The sequence below is a fragment of the Homo sapiens genome, chromosome 18, assembly GCF_000001405.40.
Source record: "Homo sapiens chromosome 18, GRCh38.p14 Primary Assembly".
Taxonomy (NCBI): Eukaryota; Metazoa; Chordata; class Mammalia; order Primates; family Hominidae; genus Homo; species Homo sapiens.
Genome location: NC_000018.10, coordinates 56,603,445 through 56,616,800, shown reverse-complemented (window position 1 = coordinate 56,616,800; position 13,356 = coordinate 56,603,445). Strand labels below are relative to the sequence as shown.

The window sequence follows — 13,356 nt, the reverse complement described above, 5'->3', positions numbered from 1 at the left end:
GCTATAAGAACCCTATTCTCTTGAGTTTGGGATTAGAGTCCATTTCAGGGCTAGTCTCTGCATAACCTGTGTATTGCCTCTAAATCGTCAAGTGATGTGGATAGATACTTGACAAATAAACCATCGTAGAGCTATGTGCTAAAATGTTAGTTTAAATTTTATTTTGAGAATTTTGTTTGATTTGTTAGAAAGCAGGTTGCTTGCCAGTTTATAGCTCATAAGACCTTACATTCCTATGCATAGTTTTAGTATTTACTTGATTAATTTTTTCTTGTATTCCCTTATATACATAACTAATAGTAGTAGTTCTCAGATGTTATCTAATCAAGTGACTCTCCACTTGCTGATTTTTCATATTACGTTGGTTTTGTTCGATGAATTAGGTTGGTTTTTTTTTTCTTGCCTGTTATTTTCATTCTGCTTCAGTAGTTTATGTACTCAAGGTGTGTACAAGAGCCCTTTAAAATGAAACTCTTATCTTCACAGCTGCTTATTACTGTGGCATTCAATCAACCTGTTAAGCTTTATTCCATGAAATTTCAAGGGCCAGATAATGGTGAGTAAAGGATAGCTTTTCTTTAAACTAACTTCTGCTTTGTAGAACTGTTAGCATAAAATTAAAACTTTTTATTAAATAGAGGTACTTGTTTTTTCTTTTTTTTTTTTTTTGAGACAGAGTCTTGTGCTATTGCCCAGGCTGGAGTGCGGTGGTGCAATCTTAGCTCACTGTAATCTCTGCCTCCTGGGTTCAAGTGATTCTCCCACCTCTGCCTCCCAGGTAGCTGGGACTGGGACTACAGGCAGGCGCCACCACGCCTGGCTGATTTTTGTGTTTAGTACAGGATTTCACCATCTGTTGGCCAGGCTGTTCTTGAACTCCTGACCCCAAGTGATCCACCCACCTTGGCCTCCCAGACTGCTAAGATTATAGGCATGAGCACCGCACCTGGCTTGTTTTGGAACGAAGCAAGATGTAAATGAATGAGTAAATAATGTGAGATTATTAGGTACTGAAAGTATGAAAGAAAGAGAACTTAGTTATTTTTATACTTTTTCATTTTAAAATTTGTTTCCTTTTAATCTGAGAAGTGCTGAATCCTTTTTTCCAACTGTTCTAAAACTGTAGCTTTTGAGCAGCCGTATTTTAGAATCAAAACTGAAAGATTTATTTCAAATTCCTTTTATTTTGAGGAAACTGAGGCTCCAGATATTCCTGTTTGTGCCCTATTAATAGTATCATTTTTTTATATCGATACATGTAAATATGATTGTGCAGACTTAGGATTTCTCTTCTTGTAAAATAAAGAATTTTCCTTTTTTGCCCCCCCCCATTTTTTCTTTTTCTGTTAAGCTTTTTCTGAGGGGGAATAGGGGAATGGAGACTAGGGTTCTGATTTTTTTTTTTTTTTTCGATTGATTGGAAGAAATAACCAAGGCCTTATTTAGAAGATAGCATTTTCTTATTTGTTCTGCTAAATTTTCATGTTAATAATTTTTATTAATAAAATTGTACTTTTACTCTGAAATTACAAAGTATTTGTATAAGCAAATGCTGTAGAAATGAGTCTTACTTTTCCTTCTTCAGCCACAAAATATGGGTCTTAAATCGTGCCTTGAAGTTAAAGGGATTAAGGCATTCTATACATGGGACTTTACCACTTATCACATCCTAATCTAATCCCTAAAATGAAATTTGGCAATTTTTATTAATTTTCTTTTGGCTAAATGTTGTCACTGATAATGCTCTCCTCCTAAATAACTGAATGTACCAACTATTGGCAACTATAAGATCTAGCTCAAATGCTATTTCTTTTATGAAACTTTTTGTTAACCTGCATATATTGTCAGAATCTATTGTCACCTTCCTTGTACCTCCTCTCCTGTGGTATTTTGTTTATCGTAGCATGTCTTTTGTAGTTGGGGGGCAGGGACTCCCTCTGTGTGTGTGTGTCTGTTTAAATCTTATATTCCTAATATTTACCACAGTGTTAGCTCGGCCAAGAAGGAACCAGTAAATGTGTTTTGGAAAATAAAGGATTGGCTACCTGAATACTCAGACTTTTGTACAAGTTCTAATAATGGAGTTATTTGAAGTATATGTGTATTGATTTGTGTGTGTCTGTGTATAGTGTGAGTGTAGTGGTAAAGGGAGTATAGTATATTTGAGGTTTTTAAACATTTTATTTTATTCTACCATTGTATAGGTCAGGGCCCTAAATATGTAAAAATTTTTATCAACCTACCCCGATCTATGGATTTTGAAGAGGCAGAAAGAAGTGAACCAACTCAAGCTCTGGAACTGACAGAGGATGATATTAAAGAAGATGGCATTGTTCCACTTCGTTATGTTAAGTTTCAGAATGTTAACAGTGTAACTGTAAGTAGTATTTCGTTCATATGTATTTAATAGGTTTGTGAGTAACAATACTATTTTCAGTATCCTAGGTAAGTCTAAGTGATTCTTTAAAGTGGTATTTATTCACTCAGTTTGAAATGAGTAAAATGTTTAATGGGATAAATTTTCTTCTTTTTAATTTATGTACCCTAAAGAGGAAGGACAGATTGATTTTTGAATATTTGTGGGGTTTTGTCAGTTATTTTATATGTATATGGTAAGTTTTGCTGGAAGTTTATTCTACAACTTTATACTAAAACTGAAGATATTTGTGCTTTATTCTTTATACCTGGTATAGTAGTGATGTGTTTGTAAAATCTTATTTACTTTTCTTGAATATGGAGTTTTTAAGTGTGGTGGTCATGATCTTAGTAAAAATGACTTTTTATTTATTTATTTTTTTTTGAGATGGAGTCTCGCTGTGTTGCCCGGGCTGACTTGAACTCTTGGGCTCAAATAATCTTCCCGCCTCAGCCTCCTGAGAAGCTGGGATTACAGGCATGCACCACTGCACCTGGCTTAAAAATGACTTTTAAAAAGATAATACTACATTTTATAAGATGACCTAAGGTATATCTGAATTTTTTCTTCCTTTGAGGCAGGTTCTTGCTTTGTTGTCCAGGCTGGAGTACAGTGGCACGACCTTGGTTCAGTATAGCCCTGATCTACTGGGCTCAGGTGATTCTCCCTCAGCCTCCAGAGCAGTTGCAACCGCAGGCACGTGCCACCTCACCCAGCTAATTTTTTATTTTTGTAGAGGTGAAGTCTCTCCCTGTGTGGCCCAGGCTGGTCTCAAACTCCTGGGCTCAAGCAGTCCTCCCACCTCAGCCTCCCAAAGTGCTGGGTTTATAGGCTTCAGCCACTACACCCAGCCTTTCTGAAGATTGACTAGTGCTTGAGGTGATTTTAAGTGATGTATTTTAGATGTCATTATTAAAGTGCCACTCTCAAGAATCAGCTAATTTTTAGCAGTTATTAATTGCTTTTAAAAAATTTAGCATTGAAACCCAGCTCACACTTCTCACCTACAGTCATTTAGAGGAATGGGTAGGACAGTTAGAAAAGAATAGCAGAATACTTAGAAAAAGAAAGTAGGAACCAGCACAGAGCCACTGAGAATGTCATGCCAAACTGGTACAGCTTGTTTGTTGTGATGGAATAATTCTATTTTTGTAAATTAGAAGAATGCTAAAGTATGTGTTCATTTAAGAATGTTTTTGAGAGTTTCACAGAATATACATAGTAGTAGTATGAAGAATTATAATTGGCTGGGTGTTGTGGCTCACTCCTGTAATCCCAGCATTTTGGGAGGCCAAGATGGGCAGATTGCTCGAGCCCATGATTTTGAGACCAGCCTGGGCAACATGGTGAAACCCCATCTCTACAAAAAAATACAAGAACTAGCTGGGCATGGTGATGCGCCTGTAGTCCCAGCTACTCTGGAGGGACCACTTGAGCCTGGGAGATTGAGGCTTCAGTGAGCTGCAGTTGTGTCATTACACTCCAGTCTGGGTGACAAAAAAAAAAAAATTATAATCAAGTTGAGTTTTAAGTATTAGAAATATCCTACCCAAATGAAATCAAAGAAAATTGTTATATTAAACTTAGTATACTCATTATCAAATATTTTCTTGAAATAACATATGGCTGCCTATGAAAACAATAAAAACTGACGAATGAGTGGCATCTCAGAATGAAAGAAGTATGTTGTTTAAATCACGAGAGGCAGTTTTTAACTGGTCATGGGAGTACGCTGGTAGTCCCAGCTACTTGGGAGGCTTAGGCAGGGGCATCACTTGCACTAAAGAGTTCAGGACCAGCCTAGGTAACATAATGAGACCTTGTCTCAAAAAAGAGATAGGTGCAATATTTTAAAGTAGACAGCACCTAGAATATTGTGTTTTTAGAAATGGAGCAAATTTCAAAAATCCAATGTATGACAAAGGATCAATGAGTAAAACTTTTAGTTTTTATCGTGCTGAGGGGAGTTATTAAATATAGAGTCAAGCTTAAAAAAAAAATGAGGCACATAGTATTGTTTTAGGAGCTGATTCCCAATACTATTTTTTCTTTTAATATTCTAGGAAATAGAATGGATACAGGAATATCAGAAAGAATATCACTTTAGAGATTTTCCTCAGTGAAAAACTATGATTTTAATAAAATTTCCAATGATAGTCTGTCCCATTGTAATTGTAACTCTTAATACCCTTTCAACATTCTCTATAAAGAATTTAATTGCTGGGCGCGGTGGCTCACACCTGTAATCCCAGCACTTTGGGAGGCTGAGGCAGGAGGATTGCCTGAGCTCAGAAGTTCGAGACCACCCTGGGCAACACAGTGAAACCCTGTCTCTACTAAATTTAAAAAAAAAAAAAAAAAAAAAAAGATTAGCCGGGCGTGGCAGCATGTGCCTGTAGTCCCCCCTCCTCAGGAGGCTGAGGCAGGAGACTTGCTTGAACCTGAGAGGTGGAGGTTGCAGTGAGCTGAGATGGCACCACTGCACCCCAGCCTGGGCAACAGAGCAAGACTCCATCTCTTAAAAAAAAAAAAAAAAAAATTAGCCGGGTGTGCTGGTGGGCTACTCAGGAGGCTGAGGCTGGAGAATCGTTTGAACCTGGGAGGCGGAGGTTGCAGTGAGTCGAGATCGTGCCATTGCACTCCAGCCTGGGCAACAGAGTGAGACTCCATGTCAAAAAATACATATAGAGAGAGAATTTAATTGTGACTCTGCCATACTATCACACCAAGTTACCATGAACTTATATATATGGGTCTCTTGCCATGACATCTCTGGAGAAAGTGAGAATAGCAGGGCAAACAGCCCTATAATTAGTAGTCCTATCCTATAGGAGTACTAGTCTTAATGTTATATAATTTTGATTAATTTTTTTTTTTTTTTTGAGCCAGAGTTTTGCTCTTGTTGCCCGGGCTGGAGTGCAGTGGCACGATCTCAGCTCACTGCAACCTCCACCTCCTGGATTCAAGCGATTCTCCTGCCCCAGCCTCCCGAGTAGCTAGGATTACAGGTGCCAGTCACCACACCTGGTTAATTTTTTTGTGTTTTTAGTAGAGATGGGGTTTTGCCACGGTGGCCAGGCTGGTCTCGAACTCCTGACCTCAGGTGATCTGCCCACCTCAGCCTCCCAAAGTGCTGGGATTACAGACGTGAGCCACTGCACCCAGCCTAGATTAATTTTTACAAAGAATGGAGAATATTTATGTTATTAATTTAAGGAAATTGATTAAACTTAAAGCATGTTTGTGAAGAAGGATTGTAATTATAAATGCAAACTTTTTTTTGGTAGATATTTGTTCAGTCGAATCAAGGTGAAGAGGAAACAACAAGAATTTCATATTTTACTTTTATTGGTACTCCAGTCCAGGCAACAAATATGAATGACTTCAAACGAGTAAGTTTGCTTAAATGATACTTCGGGATAGTAAAAATATAATTTTAATGGAATAATTTCATGTATCTCAACTGTCACACTTTCTTTTAACAAAATAATTCAAAATTATATCATGTCATGAAATTTTACAAGGCTAAACTAGGATAGAAAGTTCCCCTAACTATATTTTTAGATATCCAACAAAGTAATCTTTAATAAAAAATGATGTCTTAACTGATAAAAGAGTCTTTTAATGAATGACATCAACATAAGGGTAAAAATAATGGCTTGGTTATAGAAAGTGGTTAGTAATAATGGAAAAATGAAAGTAAAATCATTTGAAAGCAGTTGTGAGAATTAAATAACTTAGTTGATAGTAAGATTCTGGTGATTATTTCTGATGAAATTTTAAATTACTTGAATAATTTTATTTAAAAAAAATGGACTGAGTTTTAATATACTGACATGTTAACTTTCCAAACCATGTTTGTATGCTGAAATAGCACATTTCATCAAATAATGATGAACAGGCAAGTTTTCTGAAGTATTTTTGTATATCTTTATGTGTGTGCATATAATTTTCTTTTGAAAAGACACAATTATAAGGTTAGTAAAGAATTAATAGGGTACATGGGACCTTTGTTAATCCAGATTAATTCCTTCTGTACATTACTGGAACGACTTCTAATGGGCAACAGTTCCCTAGCGTCACTCTTAAATATACAGCCAGAGATTATCAAAGTGCTACTGAGAGCTTTATCAGTACAGAGCGTTAGTTGCTATATACTCAGTTTAAATGTGGCAGCACAGAATACATAGGTATCCCACTGTCTCTAATGATTGCATCTGGCAGGCAGTCTAGAACTTGAGGAAGAGTTTCCTTAGGCCTGGCAATTCCTAGATGAAGAGGCTCCCAAGAGACCCTTGTTGTGGAATTGAAGATGGAGAACATCTTGAGCACTCTCATTCTTTTTGGTGCATCTACAGATCTTACTTTAATTCAATTATAGAAAAATGTATTAGATTGCATAACAGAGGATGATCTTACAAAATTGTATGCTGTTTTTACCAAATTGCAAACCTGGACAATAGGTATTTTAACTGGTTGTTTTCCAATTACTATTTTCCTGTCTCATAGCGTGATTACCTTTTGGGGACTGCAGGAATAATTATGCACTTTAGAGCTGTTATGTCTAGATGTTTCACATATGTATTATGACAGGTCAGAAGAAGCAGAGATTAAGCATCTACATTTTTACGATATGAAATATGTTTTATTGGGAAAATGTGTGAGCAACAAAGACGTCTTGGCTGCCTGCTTTACCTTTTTGAATTAGATGCCATTGGACTTGGCTTTAAGTGTGCCTTGTGTGGTTTATTCTTAACTTAGTTTTTTATAAGATCTATTACTATTATCTTATTATTTTCTCATATCATTCATTAATTTGGCTCTAGTTTCCTGTTTCTTACCTCAGTTTATGCTATTTGATTTTCATTTTTTTCTGTAACCACCATTCTATCTTGTTTACCTTCTTACCAGCTAGCCATTCAGTTAAAGTTTCTCTAATTTGCATGAATAATTATCCATCTAACTATCTGCCTCCACCTCGTGTTTAACATCCCCCTCACATCCCTTCTAGCCTAGTATTTTCTCTTTTCTGACTGTCAAACTACGTTTTTGGGGGCTGTCTTTAGGATAGCAAAGGTGTAAGACCTTTTTTGTTTGAGAGTATTTGTGCTTGTTTTATAACAGCCATTTATTCATTTGATTTTTTTTAACTTTAAATTACCATATGATAGCAGTTCTCAAGCTTTTTGATCTCAGGACCTCTTTATATTATTAAATACTATTGAAGGCCAAAAAGAACTTTTGTTTATGTGGGCTATATTTATCTGATATTTGCCATTTATAAGTTAAAAGTGGGAAATATAAAAAATATTTGTAAATAATGAACACATGTTAATGAATATTTTTAAATTAGAAATAAGCATATTTTCTAAAAGAAAAACCAATTTGGTAAGAAGAGCATTGATTCAGAATTTTATGATTTTTTTTTTTTTTTTTTTGAGACAGGGTTTTGTTCTGTCACCCATGCTGCAGTGCAGAGGCACAGTTATGGCTTACTGCAACCTCAAACTCCTGGGCTCAAGTGATCCTCCAGCCTCAGCCTCACGAGTAGCTGAGACTACAGGCGTGTGCCACCACACTCGGCTAATGTTTTATTTTTGTGTGGGGACAGGGTCTTACTATGTTGCCCAGGCTTCTCTGTTTACGAGCCTTATAGTGTCCTTTCCTTCTCATATCTGCTTCTGCATTCAGTCAGCTTTCCTGTCACACATCATATAGCCCCTGGAAAACTCCCCTGGATACTTGTGAAGAGAATAAGAGTCTAAAAGGCAAAAAACGATTTAGCATTATGAAAATAGTGTTGACCTCCCAGACTCCTTGAGAGGGTCTTGGAGACCACACTTTGAGAACTGCTACAAGAATAATTTGAATACCATAATCTACTCCCTTGTTGGTGTTCTGGGCTTCTTAGCCCCTTGCTTTTAATGTTTAATAAATTTTAGTTGATTAAGTGATTTTCTTAGGTATATTAATATTGCATTTTCTTGTAATATTTCTGAATGACATTTGTACTGTAGTTATTCTTTGTCTTTTAGGGTTATTCTTTAAAAGTAAGCTAGTATTTCATTGTTTTTATATTGTACAAAGTAACAACTTCAATGTAGTTAAAAAAAGAAAAAGAGGGTTTACATGTAACTGAAATTGGCCAGCTTAGTCCTTGTACAGATAGATTTGCTTATTAAAAATTATAATTGAGTTTGGTTTTCATTGAAGGAAATAATATGTGGTATGGTATCTTTTGTCCCTGTAGTACGATGCTAGTACAATAGTCTCTCCTTATCTGTCGGGGCGGGGGGATACATTCTTAGACCCCCGGTGGATGCCTGGAACCACAGACACTAACAAACCCTGTACATACTGTGTATTTTCCTATACAGATGGTTCCCAACTTATGATGGTTCAAGTTTACAATAGTGCAAAATTGATAATGCACTCAGTAGAAACCATTCTCTTAAGTGTGGGGCAGTTAAGCATTTTTGACTTACAATATTTTCACCTTACAATGGGTTTACTTATTTTTATTTTTTTGAGATGGAGTTTCACTCTTGTCACCCAGGCTGTAGTGCAATGGTGCGATCTCAGCTCACTGCAACCTCTGCCTCCCGGGTTCAAGTGATTCTCCTGCCTCAGCCTTCCAAGTAGCTAGGATTACAGGCGCCTGCCACCATACCCGGCTAATTTTTGTATTTTTAGTAGAGATGGGGTTTCACCATGTTGGCCAGGCTGGTCTCAAACTCCTGACCTCACTGCCTTCCTTGGTCTTCCAAAGTACTGGGATTAGAGGCATGAGCCACCGTGCCTGGTCTTTACAATGGGTTTAATCGGGATATATTACCCCATCGGAAGTCGAGGAGCATCTGTACATATATACATACCGCTGATAATGTTTAATGTATAAATTAGGCACAGTAAGAGATTTAACAACAAAGCCAGAGCATGGTGGCTCATGCCTATAATCCCATCACTTCCGGAGGCCAAGGCTAGAAGATCACTTAAACCCAGGAGTTCAGGACCAGCTGGCAAACATAGTAAGACTCCATCTCTATTTAAAAAAAAAAAAAAATTACCCATGCAAGACGGTGGGTGCACCTGTAGTCCCAGCTACTTGGGAGGCTGAGGTGGGAAGATCACTTGAGCCCAGGAGTTCAAGACCAGCCTGATAAACATAGTAAGATTCCATCTCTATAAGAATACACACACACACACACACACACACACACACAAAATTACCCAGGCAAGGTGGTGGGCACACCTGTAGTTCTAGCTACCTGGGAGGCTGAGGTGGGAAGATCGCTTGAACCCTGGAGTTCAAGGCTGCAGCGAGCTAGGATCACGCCACTACACTCCAGCCTGGGTGACAGAGCAAGACCCCATATCAAAAAGAAAGAAAAATAAAAAAGATTAACACCAACTAATAATAAAATAGAGCAATTACAACAATATACTGTGGTTAAAAGTTGACATGGATATGGTCTCTCCCATGCTTGCTCTTTCTCTCACTGTCTCAAAATATCTTATTGTACTGCACCATAGGCAGTTGAAACTGCAGAAAGTGAAAGCATGGATAAGGAGGGACTACTCTTCAGTCATGATCTCTGTCTACAGCAGTTTATATTCTTGTAGATAACATAGGGACAAACATAGGGAAAGTTAATCAAAATTAATCAAAGCTTAGTTCAAGGGTTTCTTTGTCCACAGAGTATTCTCAGACGTTACCAGCTAGGTGACTTTTCCTTTTCCCCCAACGACTGGGAAAGTCTGAGAATACTTTGTGAAGAAAGAGGGCCTTGAACTAAGTTTTGAGAGTAGAATTTGGACAGTTCAACAGGCAGCTATGGGCACCCTTGATAGAATGGAAAAGTAGGGACCTGGACATGAACTTAGGAAGGTGGAGGATTCAATCGTTCAAGGACAAGTCACATGTGGCATGTCTTTTCTTTTACTTGTTTGCTCAGTCTGAATTAGTATATACATAGTAATTAGAATTGAAATTTTTTTCTTTTTTTTTGAGACGGAGTCTTGCTCTGTTGTCCAGGCTGGAGTGCAGTGGTGTGATCTCGGCTCACTGCAAGCTCTGCCTCCCGAGTTTACCACATTCTCCTGCCTCAGCCTCTGTAGCAGCTGGGACTACAGGTGCCCGCCGCTACGCCTGGCTAATTTTTTTGTATATTTAGTAGAGACGGGGTTTCACCGTGTTAGCCAGGATGGTCTCGATCTCCTGACCTCGTTGATCCGCCCGCCTGGGCCTCCCAAAGTGCTGGGATTACAGGCGTGAGCCACCATGCCTGGCCTAGAATTGAAAATTTTGAAATAGATTTGGCATATATTTTATAGGCACAGGGAGGAAAATTTTGATGACCTCTGTGTAGTGAAGGGCGCTATATAAAATGGCTTAATGAATAATAAAGTAGATCAAATGTTTAGCATTTTCAGTTTATATTTTTATCTTGTGTGAGCTGTTTCTGGATAATTTCCGTTTTTAGTATGTCACTGACTTCTTATGTCACTAAGATATCTGACAGAAGCTAAGGTAATGCTGTTGAATCTCCAATGTGGACAGAAATCTTAGACAACCTTTCATGCTATTACAACTTTGAAGGTTAGACTTTTAAGGTTTGACAGACTAGAATACCCCTTCCACTTGTCTGGTTTTGGCTCTTATAGGCATCACGCACAGATTATAATCTATACTTTGGCTGTTTGTTGTTGTCAATGGATTTTTTGTGTTGCAGCATGAAAAGCTTGCCATTGCCATCTTAATTGGAAGTAGATGTTTTTGCTAAAATATGCTCTTTATATGGATTGCTTTATTTTAATACAGAATTTTTAATTACAATTTTATAAAAATACAAAAATGAGAAAATTATAGGGGCTTCTGCTTCTTAGGAAATGAGGTGCATGTGAAAAGATTTTTATCACTATAATAAAAATAGACTTTTCTAAACTGGCCATTCACCGTATCAGCTATTTTTGTAACATTTCTGTCTGTTTATTTTTCAGCTTTTTTAATCCAACTCAAATGAACTAAAAACAGAAGATATTTTAAAATGAAGTAATATAAAGATTGACCTTGTCTCACTCTACTCCCCTCCTTGCTTCTCTGCTCATCTAGCACCTGTCTGCTCTCACCCTTCCCATGTTCTCGCCATTGTTGGTGCAAGATTTCTACAGCTTCTATCATCTGGATCAGCCTTGTTACCTAGGTTTCCTCAATCATCTCTTTCTTCAGATCTCATCCTAGTTGTGTTTCTTAATTGGCCTTTTATTTTGTTTTGGCTTTTGTTTTGGGCTTGCAACTAGGTGCTTTAATTTTTTACCATACCGTGTTGCTCACTAGCCTTTTTTTTTTTTTACTTTCTACTGTTTCATATTTAATTTTGTATTACATTTTGAGGCATAACATCACAATAAAATTAAATTGTTATAAAATGTTTTAGATTTAACTAGTTGAATAGTTTTAATCCATTCTAAACTTTAAATTTTATTTCCTAGGAACTATAGAATTCTTTTGGAAAACAAATATAGCAGTTGCATCAAGTTCTTTTATGTTTGTGCTAGTTTAATATATTGATTACATTTCAGTTGAGGGGTGTTGGTTTTCTTTTCCTCGTTGGAATGTTAGCCCCAAAGTCCTTTTGATGATTGATTGGGGCATGTCCTCTGCTTTTGCCCAAGTGAGCTCAAAACCAGTTGAAGGACTTATGGACTGAATATTAGGTTGGGTTAACATATTAATATAGAAGATCAATGGACTCTTTACTGAATAAATATTTTTTACACCTAATTTTTATGTACCTAAATTTTGGTTTGTCTGAGGTGTAATATAAAGACTTAAGAATGAATAAAAGAGCTTTACGTTTGGGATGACAATCCATGTTGGAATGTTGAATTTCTTCTTTTTTACAGAAAATACACATTGGCAAGTTGAGAGTTATCAACCTGTGAAACAGTATGCAGATTTGTGTCTTCTGTATCACATCTGCTAGAAGTTTAATTTTTAATATTTGTTTTTGTTTTCTTTTGCTTAATCTAATAGCTTTGTGTTTTGTGTTTCCCAAGTAATACAATGATCAATAATGCTCTCAGTGTTTATCAGCACAAAATTTACTTGTGATAGAGATAATGCCAGTTCCCCTTCTAGTGGCTCTTAAAACCTGAATTTCTTACTCTTATCCACATTCTTTTATATGAAACTGCCTTTTTATCATCTTGCTACCTTGTGAGCTTTCTAACATGGTGTCTTTGGACCAAAGGGGAGTTCTTTTAAGGTACTAGAAGTGAGTTTTCTTAGGGTGGGAAAAACATTTCTAGGATTGTGTGATTGGGATTTCAGTGGAAAGCTTTCAGGTCTCTCATGAATGATGTTGACCCAGCTATGTTATATTTTAGACCAGACATGTACTGATGACCTTTATGAGTTTTGCTGGTATAGATACTGCCATTTAGAATAGAATCAATGTAAAATACGAAAATTAAATATATAAATGTACACAGAAATCTTTCTACACAAACATACATTCAGTATTTTGCAAGTAGGTTTCTTTCAAGGCATTTTTGCCCTAAGAATACATTATCTAATGATAAACTGTAAGTTGTCAGTACATTTCTCAATTAGAACATAGTTTTCAAACTCTCCTGCAGAGAATTTGTTTTCTAGATTTGTTGGTAGAGAACAAATTTTTATTCTTCACATTTTTATGCTGCCACATATATAGCAACCAGAATGTTTTTTATAATCCTCCAGTAGAGGATTTTTCTAATCATTGACAGAAACAAGGTTTATTCATTTCATTTTTAATAGTACTCTTAAAGTAACCAGGATCTTTTTCTTAAACCAGAAAAAATTAGTCACTTTTAATCTGTTTTCATTGCATGTCAGTGTATTGAGGGGGAAAGTCTGGAAATTTGCTATATTGGGCATGAAGGACATGAGTTTAACA

The 13,356-nt window shown here is 36.7% G+C and overlaps 1 protein-coding gene across 4 annotated transcripts in view; it reads left to right on the top strand.

Annotated features, from left to right (window-relative positions):
- TXNL1 (thioredoxin like 1) overlaps window positions 1-13,356 on the top strand; it is a 41,384-nt gene that overhangs the window by 21,792 nt on the left and 6,236 nt on the right. For 2 of the 4 annotated variants that reach the window (NR_024546.2, NM_004786.3), the window contains 3 exons: window positions 487-556; window positions 2,205-2,377; window positions 5,704-5,808. Coding sequence is in view for 3 of the 4 variants with exons in the window: in NM_004786.3 (NP_004777.1) it covers window positions 487-556; window positions 2,205-2,377; window positions 5,704-5,808 (348 nt within the window). In the remaining variant the exon portion in view is untranslated. Of the gene's footprint in view, window positions 1-486; window positions 557-2,204; window positions 2,378-5,703; window positions 5,809-11,416; window positions 12,287-12,322; window positions 12,366-13,356 lie in introns of those variants that run through there. The other 2 variants (XM_024451289.2, XM_024451290.2) reach the window with 2 other exon arrangements.